The 13,003-nt window shown below is 45.0% G+C and overlaps 4 annotated features.

The window, feature by feature from the left end:
• Window positions 1,091–1,235: an enhancer, noted in NCBI's record as "145 bp enhancer 53 fragment used in the MPRA reporter construct; PK_construct_1579". NCBI's record gives its function as "activates an SV40 promoter by MPRA in HepG2 cells {active_cell/tissue: HepG2}" and the evidence as "EXISTENCE:reporter gene assay evidence [ECO:0000049][PMID:23512712]".
• Window positions 1,157–1,170: a transcriptional cis regulatory region, noted in NCBI's record as "HNF4 motif; enhancer activity is reduced when this motif is scrambled". NCBI's record gives its function as "necessary for full MPRA enhancer 53 activity {active_cell/tissue: HepG2}" and the evidence as "EXISTENCE:site-directed mutagenesis evidence [ECO:0005528][PMID:23512712]".
• Window positions 1,815–2,109: a silencer, noted in NCBI's record as "tiled region #10106; K562 Repressive DNase unmatched - State 19:H4K20". NCBI's record gives its function as "represses a minimal TATA promoter and a strong SV40 promoter by Sharpr-MPRA in K562 cells {active_cell/tissue: K562}" and the evidence as "EXISTENCE:reporter gene assay evidence [ECO:0000049][PMID:27701403]".
• Window positions 4,553–5,752: an enhancer, noted in NCBI's record as "P300/CBP strongly-dependent group 1 enhancer chr9:111541867-111543066 (GRCh37/hg19 assembly coordinates)". NCBI's record gives its function as "activates an origin of replication core promoter dependent on BRD2, BRD4, P300/CBP, MED14 and CDK7 cofactors, with strong dependence on P300/CBP, by STARR-seq in HCT116 cells {active_cell/tissue: HCT116}" and the evidence as "EXISTENCE:reporter gene assay evidence [ECO:0000049][PMID:35650434]".

A 13,003-nucleotide genomic window follows, 5' to 3' on the forward strand; every position in this document is an offset into this window, starting at 1 on the left:
ACAACCAGGCAGATGGACTAAGAAACTCCTGTAACTCAGAGTGGTGTCCGAGGGAAAAACTCCTCGGATTTTAAATAGTCTTAGACTAGCTAGAACTCCGCACCACTCTCTCCCCAAATATTTCAGGCATTGTGGGGCCAGAACCCTAGGGGTGGGTTTTTAAGGCAGCAGACTGGGGAAGGAGAGAGGATGAATGAGCAGGTCTTGCGGAGCAATGAAAGAATGGGTAGCTGGCTGAAATAAGGAGGGGAAATCGATGGGAAAGTCAGGGGACACGGGGCTGAGGGGAAGAGGAGTAAGGAATGCTTTACAGAGAAGCTGAAATGGGATTTGCAGCCCGAAGGATGAGAAGGAACTATTAATATTACATCAGCGTAACTGCCCTTCATAATCACTGTTTGTTTGTGATCCTCCAAGTCTGCTTTGAACTACGCAAACAGTCTTTGCTGTAGCTCATTTTAAGGCCTGTCCAACCCCAGAGAGGTTAATTATGAAATCCATATTAGCAATACAACTGGGGATTCAAACTTGTAAATTCATTGGCCATAGAAAATCTATCATGTTCAAAAACAAAAAGCATTTTCTTTTCTCCGAGAAGTTGACATCAGGAAACAACTCTTCCTTTAATGTTCTTGAAAAAGACCCATTCCCCCCACACTATACCTTCTTTATAATTCCGTTATAAAAGAAGTTTCACCCATAGGTCTCTGATTTTTTTTAATAAAACTTCAGAGTATTATTTTTGGATGGTTATATTTTGGATAAACTCCTTCATCCTGGAGCCTGGTGAAGCTTTTTGCTTTAAACCTCGAAATCTTTTTTTTTTTTTTTTTTTCCCCAGTTTCAAGAGTTTAAGCCTTCATGGTTTGGATTTCACTCCAAGTTCAAACTGCTTGGAGGTCCAGTGGGATCACAACTTGGCAGAATACATTCTGGTTCTTAAAATTAAGCAACTGTTACCAACATCTGAGCTTCCACACTGAGCTATTGAAAGGGCATTTTCATATCACAAGTGGAGGCTTCCTGCTGGGCCATGGGTGGAGCAGAGCTGGAATAAGGGGAGGCAGACCCAGCTGAAACCCTTCTCAGCCCCACACAGCCCTCCCCCACCTCCCAGATTTGCTGGGCCTGTCATTTGAGGCTAAGTCATATAGACAAATTCAAAGTTCACTCTGGGACATGAGCAAGGGAAGACAACAAAACACACATTCTTCTCTCTGAAATCTTTTCCCAGGCTCTGGGATATTGCCTGGCACTCTGTAGGCACCCAATAACGTTTGTTAAATGCTTGAAAGAAACAAACTATGGGGTAGGGGGAGATAAAAGAGAGAGAAAGAAGGAGGGAAGAAGAAAAAAGAAAAAAATGGGAGGAAGGAAAGATTCTGAAGTTATTTTAAATAAATGCTCATTTATATATTTATATATGCTGCCTTACAGTAAATTAACAATAAATAAAATTGAGTGCTTACTATGTGACCAGAACTGTGCTAAACTGCATTATACACATTATTTCAAATCTCATGATGACACCATGAAGCAAGAAGCATTATTAACCCCATTTAAAGGTAAGGAAACTGTGGTTAAAGAGATCAAGTCACTTTGCCCATAGTGCCAAAAATAAGTGTGGGGCCAGGATCTGAATGCAGGTCTATCTGATGAGAGTCTGATCTCTTTCTTTCCCTTGACAATTTATCCTCAGGGATCCTGCACACTTTATGTCTCTTCATTTTTTTAAGGGTGAAAACCAATGCAGGTGAGAAATAAAATCCTAACCCTCCCAACCAACTGAATGGACCCCCCTTTTGGCCAAGGAGACCACAAAGAAACTTACAAACTGAGCTCTTGGCCATGACAGGGTGGGAGAGGAGGTCAGACAGGCCTTGCTGTGCCCCCTCCCTCACTAAACACCATTAGACTTTCTTTCCCAGAGTTCAGCTGAAACCAGCCCTTTCAAAAGATTTGCTCCACTGCTGATTTCCACCAACCACCTGATGCTGTGGCTGGACTCCTCGCCATTTTTGTGGTTTTGGCACAGCAACTGACCAGCATTCCTTCCTGATAAGAGACCACTGACCACAGACTGATTCTGGCCAGTCCATGGAGGCTGCACACAGGGACACTTCTGTGTCCTCCGTTTTCCCTTTTGACTTATGGAGCCTAAATTCACTGCATTTAAATGTTAAGTCTCCAACCCAAAGTGAACATGGGACATATGTAACATGCATGTTTGCTTACTATGCATGCACACCCCTTCATGAATATTCACAGTTCTTCCTATAACCTGTTGAATATGTATACTTAGCCAACCTGTTCAGTGTAAATTCCTGTCTTAGCCTTCCTCCTTCCAAGTGCTTGCTTTTGTTTTTTGCTGGAGGCTATGCTTCCCAGCCTGCAGGTGGCGAGCCTGCAGCTGCAACCTTTTATAAGAAATTAAGCTCTCCTTTCCCGATGTATAGATCTCATGACTTTAAGTCAACACAGGTCATGGGCACACAGGTGTAAGCTTTAGCATTAAGCAATCACATGGCTCATAGAGTTCAGCCACCAGAACCCAGGGGTTGCCATTCATAGGTTAGGTAGGCTGAGGCAGAGGCAGGCTGCTCTTTCATGTCAGAAGTGAGGGAATAGCACCCTAAGTAGAAGAGACAGTATTGCAGGTGTTAAGGCAGGAAAGAACATTCCAGAAACTGAAAGGCTCATTATGGTTCCATTGACAGTAATGAGATCAGAAGGAGTCAAGAGACACCATGATAAAGATTTTATCCTGAATGCATCAGGAGGCCCCCGAGGGGTTTTAAGCAGATGAGGGATATGGCACCATTTATGTTTTTAAAAGAATATTCTAGCTACGGTGTGAACATGGACCGGAGCCACTAGGAGGGAACGTGTGCAGATGCCCAGGGAAAACCCCTTGACCAATCACTCAACGAGCCTTCTGACTTAGGCTTGGTGCCAGGGGACAAAATGATTCCTCTGATCGTTTGGGGGAATCAAAATGGTCCCCAAAGGGGACCACCAAGGGACACCAAAATGATTCCAGCTTATCTCCTCTGTCTTCCAAGAATGCTTGGTCTGGAGAAGCAAAAACTAAACAGAGTAGTCATGCTATAATAGGGGCAATGGTGGCAGAAGGACCAGGAGGGGATCACAGGATGCTCCCCTGAGGTAGAAAGGTTTCCTTGACCAGGATCTTCAAGGGTGAATAGGAACTCTACAGGCAAATATGGAGGGAAAGGTACTCCAGGCAGAGGGACAGTGTGGAGAAAAGCACAGAGGCATGGAGCAATGCGCTACACTTAGGAAACCTGATAAGGTTCTGCATGGTGGGAGCACAGGATTGGGTGGGACTCGGGAAAAGGCAGTGGGGAGGAGGGCAGGGGCTAAGGCCCAGTACAGGTCCAGAAAGACCTTGTGCATCATCTTACAGGAACAGTACTTTCCCTCAGTGAATGGGTAGCCATGGAAAATGATTGAGCAGGAAGATTTTGCTTTTTAAATGATACTCAAGGGGAGGACCTAGAAGGGAGAAGCGCTGAGGGTCCAATAGAAGAGAGAAGCATACGCTGTCAATCTCTAACGCAGGTGACCTGGGATCCGCTGCCAGTACAATCCCATCCTGAGCAGCTGCCCCCAGTCCCTGGCTTCTCACAAAGGCCCACACACCTGCTGAGCACGCTCAGCTTGAAACAGCCCTCTCAGTCCCAAGAACCAGAAACCAGAGAAACCCCAGAAGAGGGAGGGTCATGGGAAACCAAAAAGAAACTGTGGTGCAATCCAACCTTAGAAGAAATCAGAGAATCCTGTGTCACTTCCACTCCATAACCCCTTCCCAGGGGAGCTCTACTGTTGGCAGAGCCCCTCCAGGCACCTGCCCCGGGACCCCATCCACATCCCTGGGGTTGTCCTGCCTACTGACCCCTCCCCTTGCTTCCCCACATCCTCTTTACCAAGCTCTGTGCGTCAGAGTGGGAAGAATACACTTTTACCCAGAAGACCAATGGCCTGGATTCCCAAGTTCCAGCTCCCACACTTATTAACTACTCGCCATCCGTGGGCCTTAGTTTCCCCATTTACAGTCCTGCTCCCTCATAGAGAACAGATGGAAATAGGCTTTGTAGAATAAAGAGCACCATCAAAGTGGAAGAAATCCTCTCCCCACCTCAGAAAGTATTTAAATCAACCTGATTTTAAATCAACTGCCTGATGCAGAGATGACCGTTTCCTTCAGTCCACAGCGTGGGTGCTTTGTAAGGACTGCTGTTGTAGGGACCATGGAAGTTTCCAGAAGAGCGGTTCTGAAGCTTAGGGCTCACCAGAGTTTCTCTGATGACTCCCTTTCAATTCACTGTCAACACCACTGAAGCCTCCCAAGGGGAAAGGATAGGCCAGGGTCACTTCAACCAGGTCCCCTGGAACATAAGTGGCTATCTCTGTTTCCAATGCCAAGGACCCACCTGTATAGACAGCCCTGCCCTCCTGAGACAGAGATGGGCACAGTGAGGTGGACTGTCCCGCAAAGAGAAGGAAACAGTCAGGCATTATTTGCCCCTCAGGGTCTGGCAGGGCTAAGCCTGAGTGGGCAGAGGAGTGGGCTGGAGGCTCTGGCAGACTGGGGGGCAGTCCCTGTGGTGTGGAAGGGAGCAGGGAGTTCTCTGTGGCAGCTGGACTTACAATGAAGACATTGTTCTCTCCCTGCAATACATCTGTTCCCCTAAGGATGGAGGCCAGAGAAAGAGAACTGAGTCAGGGAGCATCTGCCAAGACCAGGGAAAAAGCTAGAGTGCCCATCTAGAGGAAGCGAAGTGTTGAATGCCCCCATGGCAGCCCACCCTCAGCCACCTGACAAAGGTTAGAGACACAGAGGAAAATACTGACTCCCTTCCTCCACCACACCCCGTTCTCTCTGATCCTTTCTCTTATTTCAGTCAGTAATGCCATGCTGTGCTTTGTGCTTTGCCTGCTTTTGTGATTTTAACCTTTTACTATCTAAGCATTTCTTTTACTCACTTCCCTAAGTACCTTTTTGTAACGTATTATGTTGACCTTTGAAATCAGAAAATTCATTGCTGGTGAGTTTGCACTGAAAGCTGCATCGACTCATTACGTCAGTGATGAATCTACCTTCTGCAAAGGAATCTGATGACGTGGATCAAGAAGAATAAAAACGTCTTTCCCTTTCTGCCGAAACTCGCTCATTTGAGCATAATTACTACATGCTGGTACTCACATATCTCATGAAGTACGATATAATACAAATCAAGTTTACAGATGAGAAAACACTAGCTCAGTGACTTTAAGGAAGTTGCCCAAGATCACACAGGTAGTAGATCAGTGGTCAATCTCAAGCCTTCTGACTCTAAAGCCAGTTCTCCTTCCACAGTGCCAGCCTTTTCAGGTTACCCCATAATCCTACTCCTGGGGATTCATGCTGAGAAATTTTACTTGCTAATTTTAAAATCAAAACTAAAAAAGTGTTCGCTGTGTTGTTCATTGTGATTCCAAAAACTGGAAGCAAGCTAAATATCAATTATAAAGGAAAAATGAAGCAAACTGTGACAATATTATTCAACAACAAAAATTAAAATATTATAGACTGTAGCAACATAGAAGGTTTTCATGACTGAAAAATGGGTATATATATTATGAACATAACTGTGTTAAATTATGTAAATCACAGTAGGCAAGACACCAGGCAAAATGAAAATACTATTTACAGGGAAGTAGAATTCTAGATACATTTTTTACAAATTTTTTTAATACCATTTTGATATCTTAACGACGTCAAACAAGTAAGTTTATAATATCCCTGCTGGTTTTTCAGTGCCAGATGTGGGTGCTTTCCCAAATGATCTGTTCTATCTGCCGATTCAAGGAAATTTAATTTCACTCTACAGAAATAAACATACAATGTCTTTCTTTAGGATTTTTAATTCTATATTTTATATGGGATCTTTTATAATTTTTCACTTCCTCTTTTGGTACCTTAAATTACATAAAAAATCAAGCCAATATCTGTCATTGCTCCTTGACTTTGGCAGCAATGATTGCACCATAACAACAACATGTCATTCACCCACTCTGTGGAGAGAAGAAAAGACAACAGAAGGCAAGAGGCATGCTGAAACGGAGCTCTCCGTGGCTCCAGCAGCAGCCGGGGGACGTGGCAGGAAAGGTGCCTGCTCTGCACAGGGCTGCCTCTCCGCACCTCCACTGCTCCCAGTGTATGAGGATTTTGAGATTTCCAGTGTTTTCATCAGGGACTGGTCACAGGGAGCTGGAATCCCCTTAAATGTTTGGGTCATGTGAGACTTGATCTTAAGATTCCTGGAGATATCTGCAACACCCCAAAAGCACAGGAAGCTCAGGCGGGCTTTGTGAGACTCAGGAAGCCAGTGATCATCTCTTTCTTTCTCCCCCACTCTCTCTCACAGGGTACACAGCCCCGGCCACTCGCCGAGATCCTGACATTGGCAGTCTCCTGGCTTCCTCAGGCCAGCCTCTTCCCCACCCCTGCCTCGCCCCTCAGAAGGCATCAGGTTCTGTCACCATAAATGGGGGTCTGAGTCTGCCGAGAACAATGATTTAGCACAAAGAGTGCTCAGTGCAAAGTCCAAAGTGGAGGTGGGTGGATCAAGGAGGCTAATCCAAGAACACCCATTCTGTCCAAAGAAGCCAAGATCAGACTGCATAAAAAGTCAGGGCTTGAGAAAATACCCAGGGCAACAATCCAGGGAAGACAGAAAGAATATTTATCCTCAAAGTAAACAGAAAAAGGAAAATATCAGTAAATTGAACAGGGTCATGGTTTCGTGGGGGGCAAGAGTCCTCAGGGTGAGCCTGTGCTGAGGCTGTGCTTTGTGGGGATCGCGGGCCAGCTCCTCCCATGTGGTGCCCACTGGCCACCTCAGGTAGCAAAAGAAATCGGGTCCAAGAGGTCATGGCAAGAAAAAGGGAACTGCCAGGCACGGTGGCTCACGCCTGTAATCCCAGCACTTTGGGAGGCCAAGGTGGGCGTATCACGAGGTCAGGAGATCTAGACCATCCTGGCTAACATGCTGAAACCCCGTCTCTACTAAAAATACAATAACTTAGCCGGGCGTGGTGGTGGGCACCTGTAGTCGCAGCTACTCGGGAGGCTGAGGCAGGAGAATGGCGTGAACCCAGGAGGCGGAGCTTGCAGTGAGCCCAGATCTCGCCACTGCACTTCCAGCCTGGGCAACAGAGCGAGACTCTGTCTCAAGAAAAAGAAAAAAGAAAAATAAAGGGAACCGTGGGTGTTTACTGGGCAGCATCAAATGAGCAAAGATAGCAGAATTGCAGGTTAGGAAACCTGACTGTCACTAATTTGCCAAGTAGCAAATTGAGTAAACCATTCTCTTCTTTGGGCCTCAGTTTCCCCATTTACAATGTGAAGAGATTGGACTGAAGAACCTTCCAGCAATGGCCCTTGAAGCAGTGGTGTGCTCAAGTAATTTTTACTGGCTTGTGAAAACCAATTGTTAAATTGGGGGGAATTTTGTGAGGCTGGAGTTAAGCACATCCATTAGAAAAAATAAATATAAATATGCATTTTAAAATTAAAAACTAGATGTAAACATACATTTACAATTAAATACATTACACCAAAAACCAACAGTAAATGTGCTCAAATTCCTTACTTCCTAATTATTTTACTACGGTTCACTATTATCTATGCCAGGGGTCAGTGAAATTTTCTGTAAAGGGACAGGTAATATTTTAGGCTTTGAGGGACACAGACAATCTCTGTCACACTGTTGTGTGTTTTTTTAACCTTTTTAAAATATAAAAACCAATCTTAGCTCACGGGCTGCACAAAAACAAGCCACAGGTCAGATCTGACCTACAGGCTGTAATTTGCCAACCGCTGATCTCTGCCTGAAGGTTATTTACATGCATTTCACCTGTACTACGGAAGCCCTGTATAATTGTGTGCTGTTTGGAATCTTTCCCCAACTGTGTGTTGGGATATCGTGTTAGTAGCTTAAAGTCGGCCGTGGTGGGAGTCTTCACACAATGGAAATGGGCAAACACTGCAAAAGCAGGTGCTCTTTCCTGAAGGGTCAGTTATTACAACATTTACCAGCCCTCCACTGTCCCAAAGTCACAATAGAGAGAATCTTAGAAGCAGAAAGTGCTTTCTTTCCCAGCTCACCCAGGAAGCCCAGGCAGGACAGCAGAATGGAAAGGGAAACTCTAGGCCATGGAGTCAGAGGAAGAGCAAGACTGAGGGACACCCTACCCTACACACCTAGACACAGCCTGATCCACAGGTGATCCTTTGTGACCACCTCACATTTCAGGTTCACTTTTTTATGCCCGAAGTTTATGCTATTTTTCTCTTCTGTCACTTTGGAAAGGCTGTTTCTATCTTCGCTGCTGCCCTCGGTAGTAACAGAGCAGCTGAGGTCTGCTCAGAAGTCGCCAGGGACAGACACTGTACAAAGGGGTCACAGCTGCAAGGGAGACGAAGGGAAAGGCAGCCCTGTGTGGAGCAGCCACATCTGCTATTCTGGGGTGGAGTGAGTTGGGGCTTCTCCTAAAATAGAACAATAACGTGCAGGTCTAGACTAAGCAGCAATTTTGGTTTTAGGGAAAGCTGATACCCAGCAGGATGAGAATAACTCTGAGAAAGTTTGTTTTCAGCAATTTGGGCTCAATTAGGCAGGAAAAGTGCCTGGTAAGAAACACAGATACAACCAAAACCAGGAGGAGGCCTTTGGGGCATTTACGAGGGGACCCTCCCAGGAATTCCCAGACAGCAAGCAGCAGCAATGTTGCCTCTGCTGCTGAAGAAACGAGTCGCAGCCTTAACTCCGGTGGAAGAAGTGGTCTCTGTGCCCTATCCCTCTCCTGGACCAAAGGAAAATCCACCCCGGACACATACACTGCCTCTCACCCGCCCGCTCTGCTTCTCCCAGCTGACCGTCGTTAGGAAAACAGACGGAAACCAGGAAGAAGTCGTACTGTTCCCAATCCCCAGTTGTCTAATCCAAACAACACAAAATACTGGGGAAGGAGGGGACAAGAGAGCAAGGTTTGGTGGGGGAGAGAGATGCACACAGAAGTGGTTATGGACAGCTGCTTAGGAAAAGGGATCCTTTAACTAACCCTCGAAGGAATAAGCAAAGAATGAAAGGAAAGGGCATTTAAGGAGCACAAAAATGCTAGATGTGGCTGTTACACGTCAAGGCATTCTAACTCATTAGACATCAGAGAAATTCAAGTTAAGAACCACAGTGAGAGGCAAGAAGCCACAAAAGAACATTACTTCCCTTCTATCAACAAGAAAAAAAGCCAGACAATAGACAGTCCTAACTTCCTTTAACCCATCAGAGAGCCGAGATTACAAGGCAATCAGGAGAACTGAATTCCAGAGTGACAAGCCCCTCCATAGAGACAGAATATACATACTCTCCCACCTTTGCCAGAGCCTCTTTGGAGAAAGCGGTGGCTGCATATGAAAGAAGAAGAGCTAACACTGTAACAAGTTCTTTTTTTAAAATTGATACATAATTATTGTTCATATTTCTGGGGTACTTGTGATATTCTGAATACACATATACAACATGATCAAACCAGGGTAATTCGAATACCCATCACCTCAAACAGTTGTCATTTCTTTGTGTTGAGAACATTCAAAATCTTCTCTTCCAGCTATTTTGAAATATACAATAAATTATTCATTATAACAGATCTGAAAAGCCCAGTGTGGGTGGGTGTGACAATTGAGAATCCCCGGGAGCCCAGACACAGGAGATCATACTCCCAGCTCTTTTCCACAACCCCTACCAGGTGCTCAGAAGAAAGACTGGGCCAGGCAGAAGAGCCAAGAGAGCCCTTGCTGGCCCATAGGCATGAAACCCCACCCATTTTCCAGAACTTTTCCTTATAAGAACCCAAAGCCTTAAGGGTAGAAGCAGGCTACCCTCCCACTCCCAAGGCCTAAGCAAAGACCCACTGTCTGGAGAAGGGATAGAAACTAAGCCACCTGCCCCTGGATAAGGGATAGAAACCAGGCCACCTGACCCTGGAGGAGAAGGAGAAAATCTCTCTGCTCTATCATGAGCCTTACACCAAGTAACAAGCCACAGCCATTTCCTGTGGGGGGAGGAGGAGAAACTCCCCCACGACTGGTCTTAGAAAAGGAGCTATTGCTCCATACTCCACCAGAATGGCTAAAATTAGTAAAACTGATGATGCCAAGGATTGGCAAGGACATAGAGCAACAGGAACTCTCGTATGCTTCCGGTAGCAGTTTGAATTTGTGCAACCACTTGGGAAAACTATTTGGCAGTACCTACTAACTAAAGTGAAGCATGTGCATATCCCAGGACCCAGCAATTCCACTTCTAGGTATATATCCAAGTGAAATGAGTACACATGAGGCCCAAAAGACTTACAAAAGAAGATTCGTGGCAGAACTACTTGAAATAGCTCCAAACTGTAAACAACATAATAATCAACAGTATTATGTATAAATTGTATAATTATATTCTCTTCACACAATGTAATAACTACTATACAGCAATGATAATAGACAAACTACTGCTACCTGCAACATGAGTAAATCTAGCCAACATGTTGAACAAAAGAATCCAGTTGAAAAAGAATCCATGAACTCACTTATATGAAGTTCAAAAACAGGCAAAAGTAACATATGATGATGAAAATCAGACAGCAACTATCCTTTGGAGGGTAGTTACTGGAAAGGGGGAGGTGGAGGATTCTAGGGTCTTGGCAATGTCCTACTTCTTGATCTGGCCCACATCGTGAAAATTCATCAAGCTGTACCTTCATTATTTGAGTTTTTTTACTTCAATGTTATACTTCAAATAAAAAGAACAGGTTACTTTAAAGAGAAGTGCATAGTACGATGAGAAACAAATAAGTCAGCCAAGCCAAAGTCATGAGAAGACAAAAGACAGGTAGGGTAGCTAGAATATGGAAGGACCTCTTGAGTCCCAGACCAAGAGGTTTAGCCTTTGTTCCACTGGCAAAAAAGTGCCACCAAAGGCTTTTTAAAAAATAAGTATAGATTCATACGCAGTTGTAAGAAATAATACAGAAAAATCCTTCATCCAGTCTGCCACAATGTTGATATCTTACAGTACAGTATTAGAGCCATAAAATTGTCATTGATGCAAACCACCCACCTTATGCAAATTCTACCAGTTTTACATGCACTCACATGTGTGTGCGTGTTCAGTTCTATGCAATTTTATCACAGGTGTAGATTCCTATGACTGCCACCACAGTCAAGATACAGAATAGTTCCATCTCAGGGATCCCCAGTGCTACCACCCTTTTATAGAACCATTAAACAAAGAGTGGTACATCTAAACATGGAATACTACTCAGCAATAAAAGGGAATCAACTATTAATACATGCAACAACTCCAACGGATCTCAAGGACGTTATGTTGAGTGAAAGCCAATCTCAAAGGATTACGTAATGTATCATTCCATTTATATGCCATTCTTGAAATGACAAAATTATAGTTACAAAACAGATGAGTAGTTACCAGAGCTTAGGGAAGGGAGAAGGGAGGGAAGTAGCTATGGCAGATGAGGGACATGAATAACACAAACCAGAGAATCCAGCTTATTCCAAGTGCAACGCTGCTTTCCCAAAACTTCAATCCTCACCCTTCAACCTTACTACCCTACCGCATCCCACTGCCACCCCTAGCAGCTGCCTCTTGCTGCTTTAATATCTAGTAAATTAGCAATGGCTTGGGCCTTAATGAAAGGACCCTATTGATAATGGACCCTCCCTACTGGCATCCCAATAGGGTGTCATCTGTCCAGTGGAAAAGGGAGCTTGCCCCTGCATTCTGTGACTCCTTTTCATTCTCTTGAAGACCTCCTGGAAGAGCTGAGAGCCCTTTGACATACTTAATGCATGAGCTGTCTTGTGAGCTTGGGAGGATTACTTGGCTTTTTTTTTTTTTTTCTCTTGCTTCTGTTTCTTCCCTAGATGTAATTCTATTAAACAGCTTTAAAAATAAATATGTTGCTGTGGGAGGTTGAGTGAGGGGGTAGTTAGTATGACATTTCTGTTATTTTGAAATTAGACCCATGGGAAGCCTCCAGGCACACAGTAAAGTCTGACATAATCCACTTACAAAGGAGATTAAGGATGCTGATGAGCTCACACAGGCAACTCCCTGATGTACTCACGGATGGTACAACTGAGCCCCAGGAGCCAAATAAGAAGAGAAGGTGCATTTCACAAATGCACACCAGGGAGATAAATCCATGCCCTGTAGAGAGGTGCACCATGCCTCAGCAACAACCAGTCCCTGAATAAAACTTCAAATGGACTGAGAGGCTGTGAGCCAGACCCTGCAGTTCTGGCTGCACATACATCTCTGTAGAATGGAGACTACCTTTGAGATGGGGGGAAGGGCTTCTCAGATGAGGGACATTTGAGCTGAGCCGAAAGAATGAGTCACTTGCCAGGCAGTAGTTCGGAGTGGGGCGTGGTATTCCACACAAGGGGAACAGCATGAGAAAAGGGGCTGGCTGGCATGGGGCAGGGAGACTTGGAGCAGTCTGGTGTGACTGGGAAGTACGACATGCTGGGGGAAGTAGGGGAAATTGAAATCAGTGGAGGGCTTGCCTGTTATGAAGAATTCGGCCTTTAAGCATGAGCAGTTTTGAAAGCACCGGTGTGACATGGGATTTTAGAAAGATGACTCAAGTGGCCCTGTGCGAGCAGATACATTGCAGAGGCGAGCCTCTGGTCTGAGAGAGGTGAGGAGCCCCCTGCCTCCTCTCATCCTCCTCATTAATGAGAATGAGACAAAGCTCCAGCTTCCTGGGAGATTTACATGTTAAGGTGGTTTGGCGGGAAGTGCTGCCTTCTCGTGTTAAGACGGGACTTGTCAGAACAAGCACCTGGCTTTGGCTGATGAAAAAAATAAGCAAGCACAGTTTTAATTGCACACAGTTTTAAGAGGGGTGGGGGCTCCCAGCTTGA

This window comes from Homo sapiens, chromosome 9 (genome assembly GCF_000001405.40).
Source record: "Homo sapiens chromosome 9, GRCh38.p14 Primary Assembly".
Classification (NCBI taxonomy): domain Eukaryota; kingdom Metazoa; phylum Chordata; class Mammalia; order Primates; family Hominidae; genus Homo; species Homo sapiens.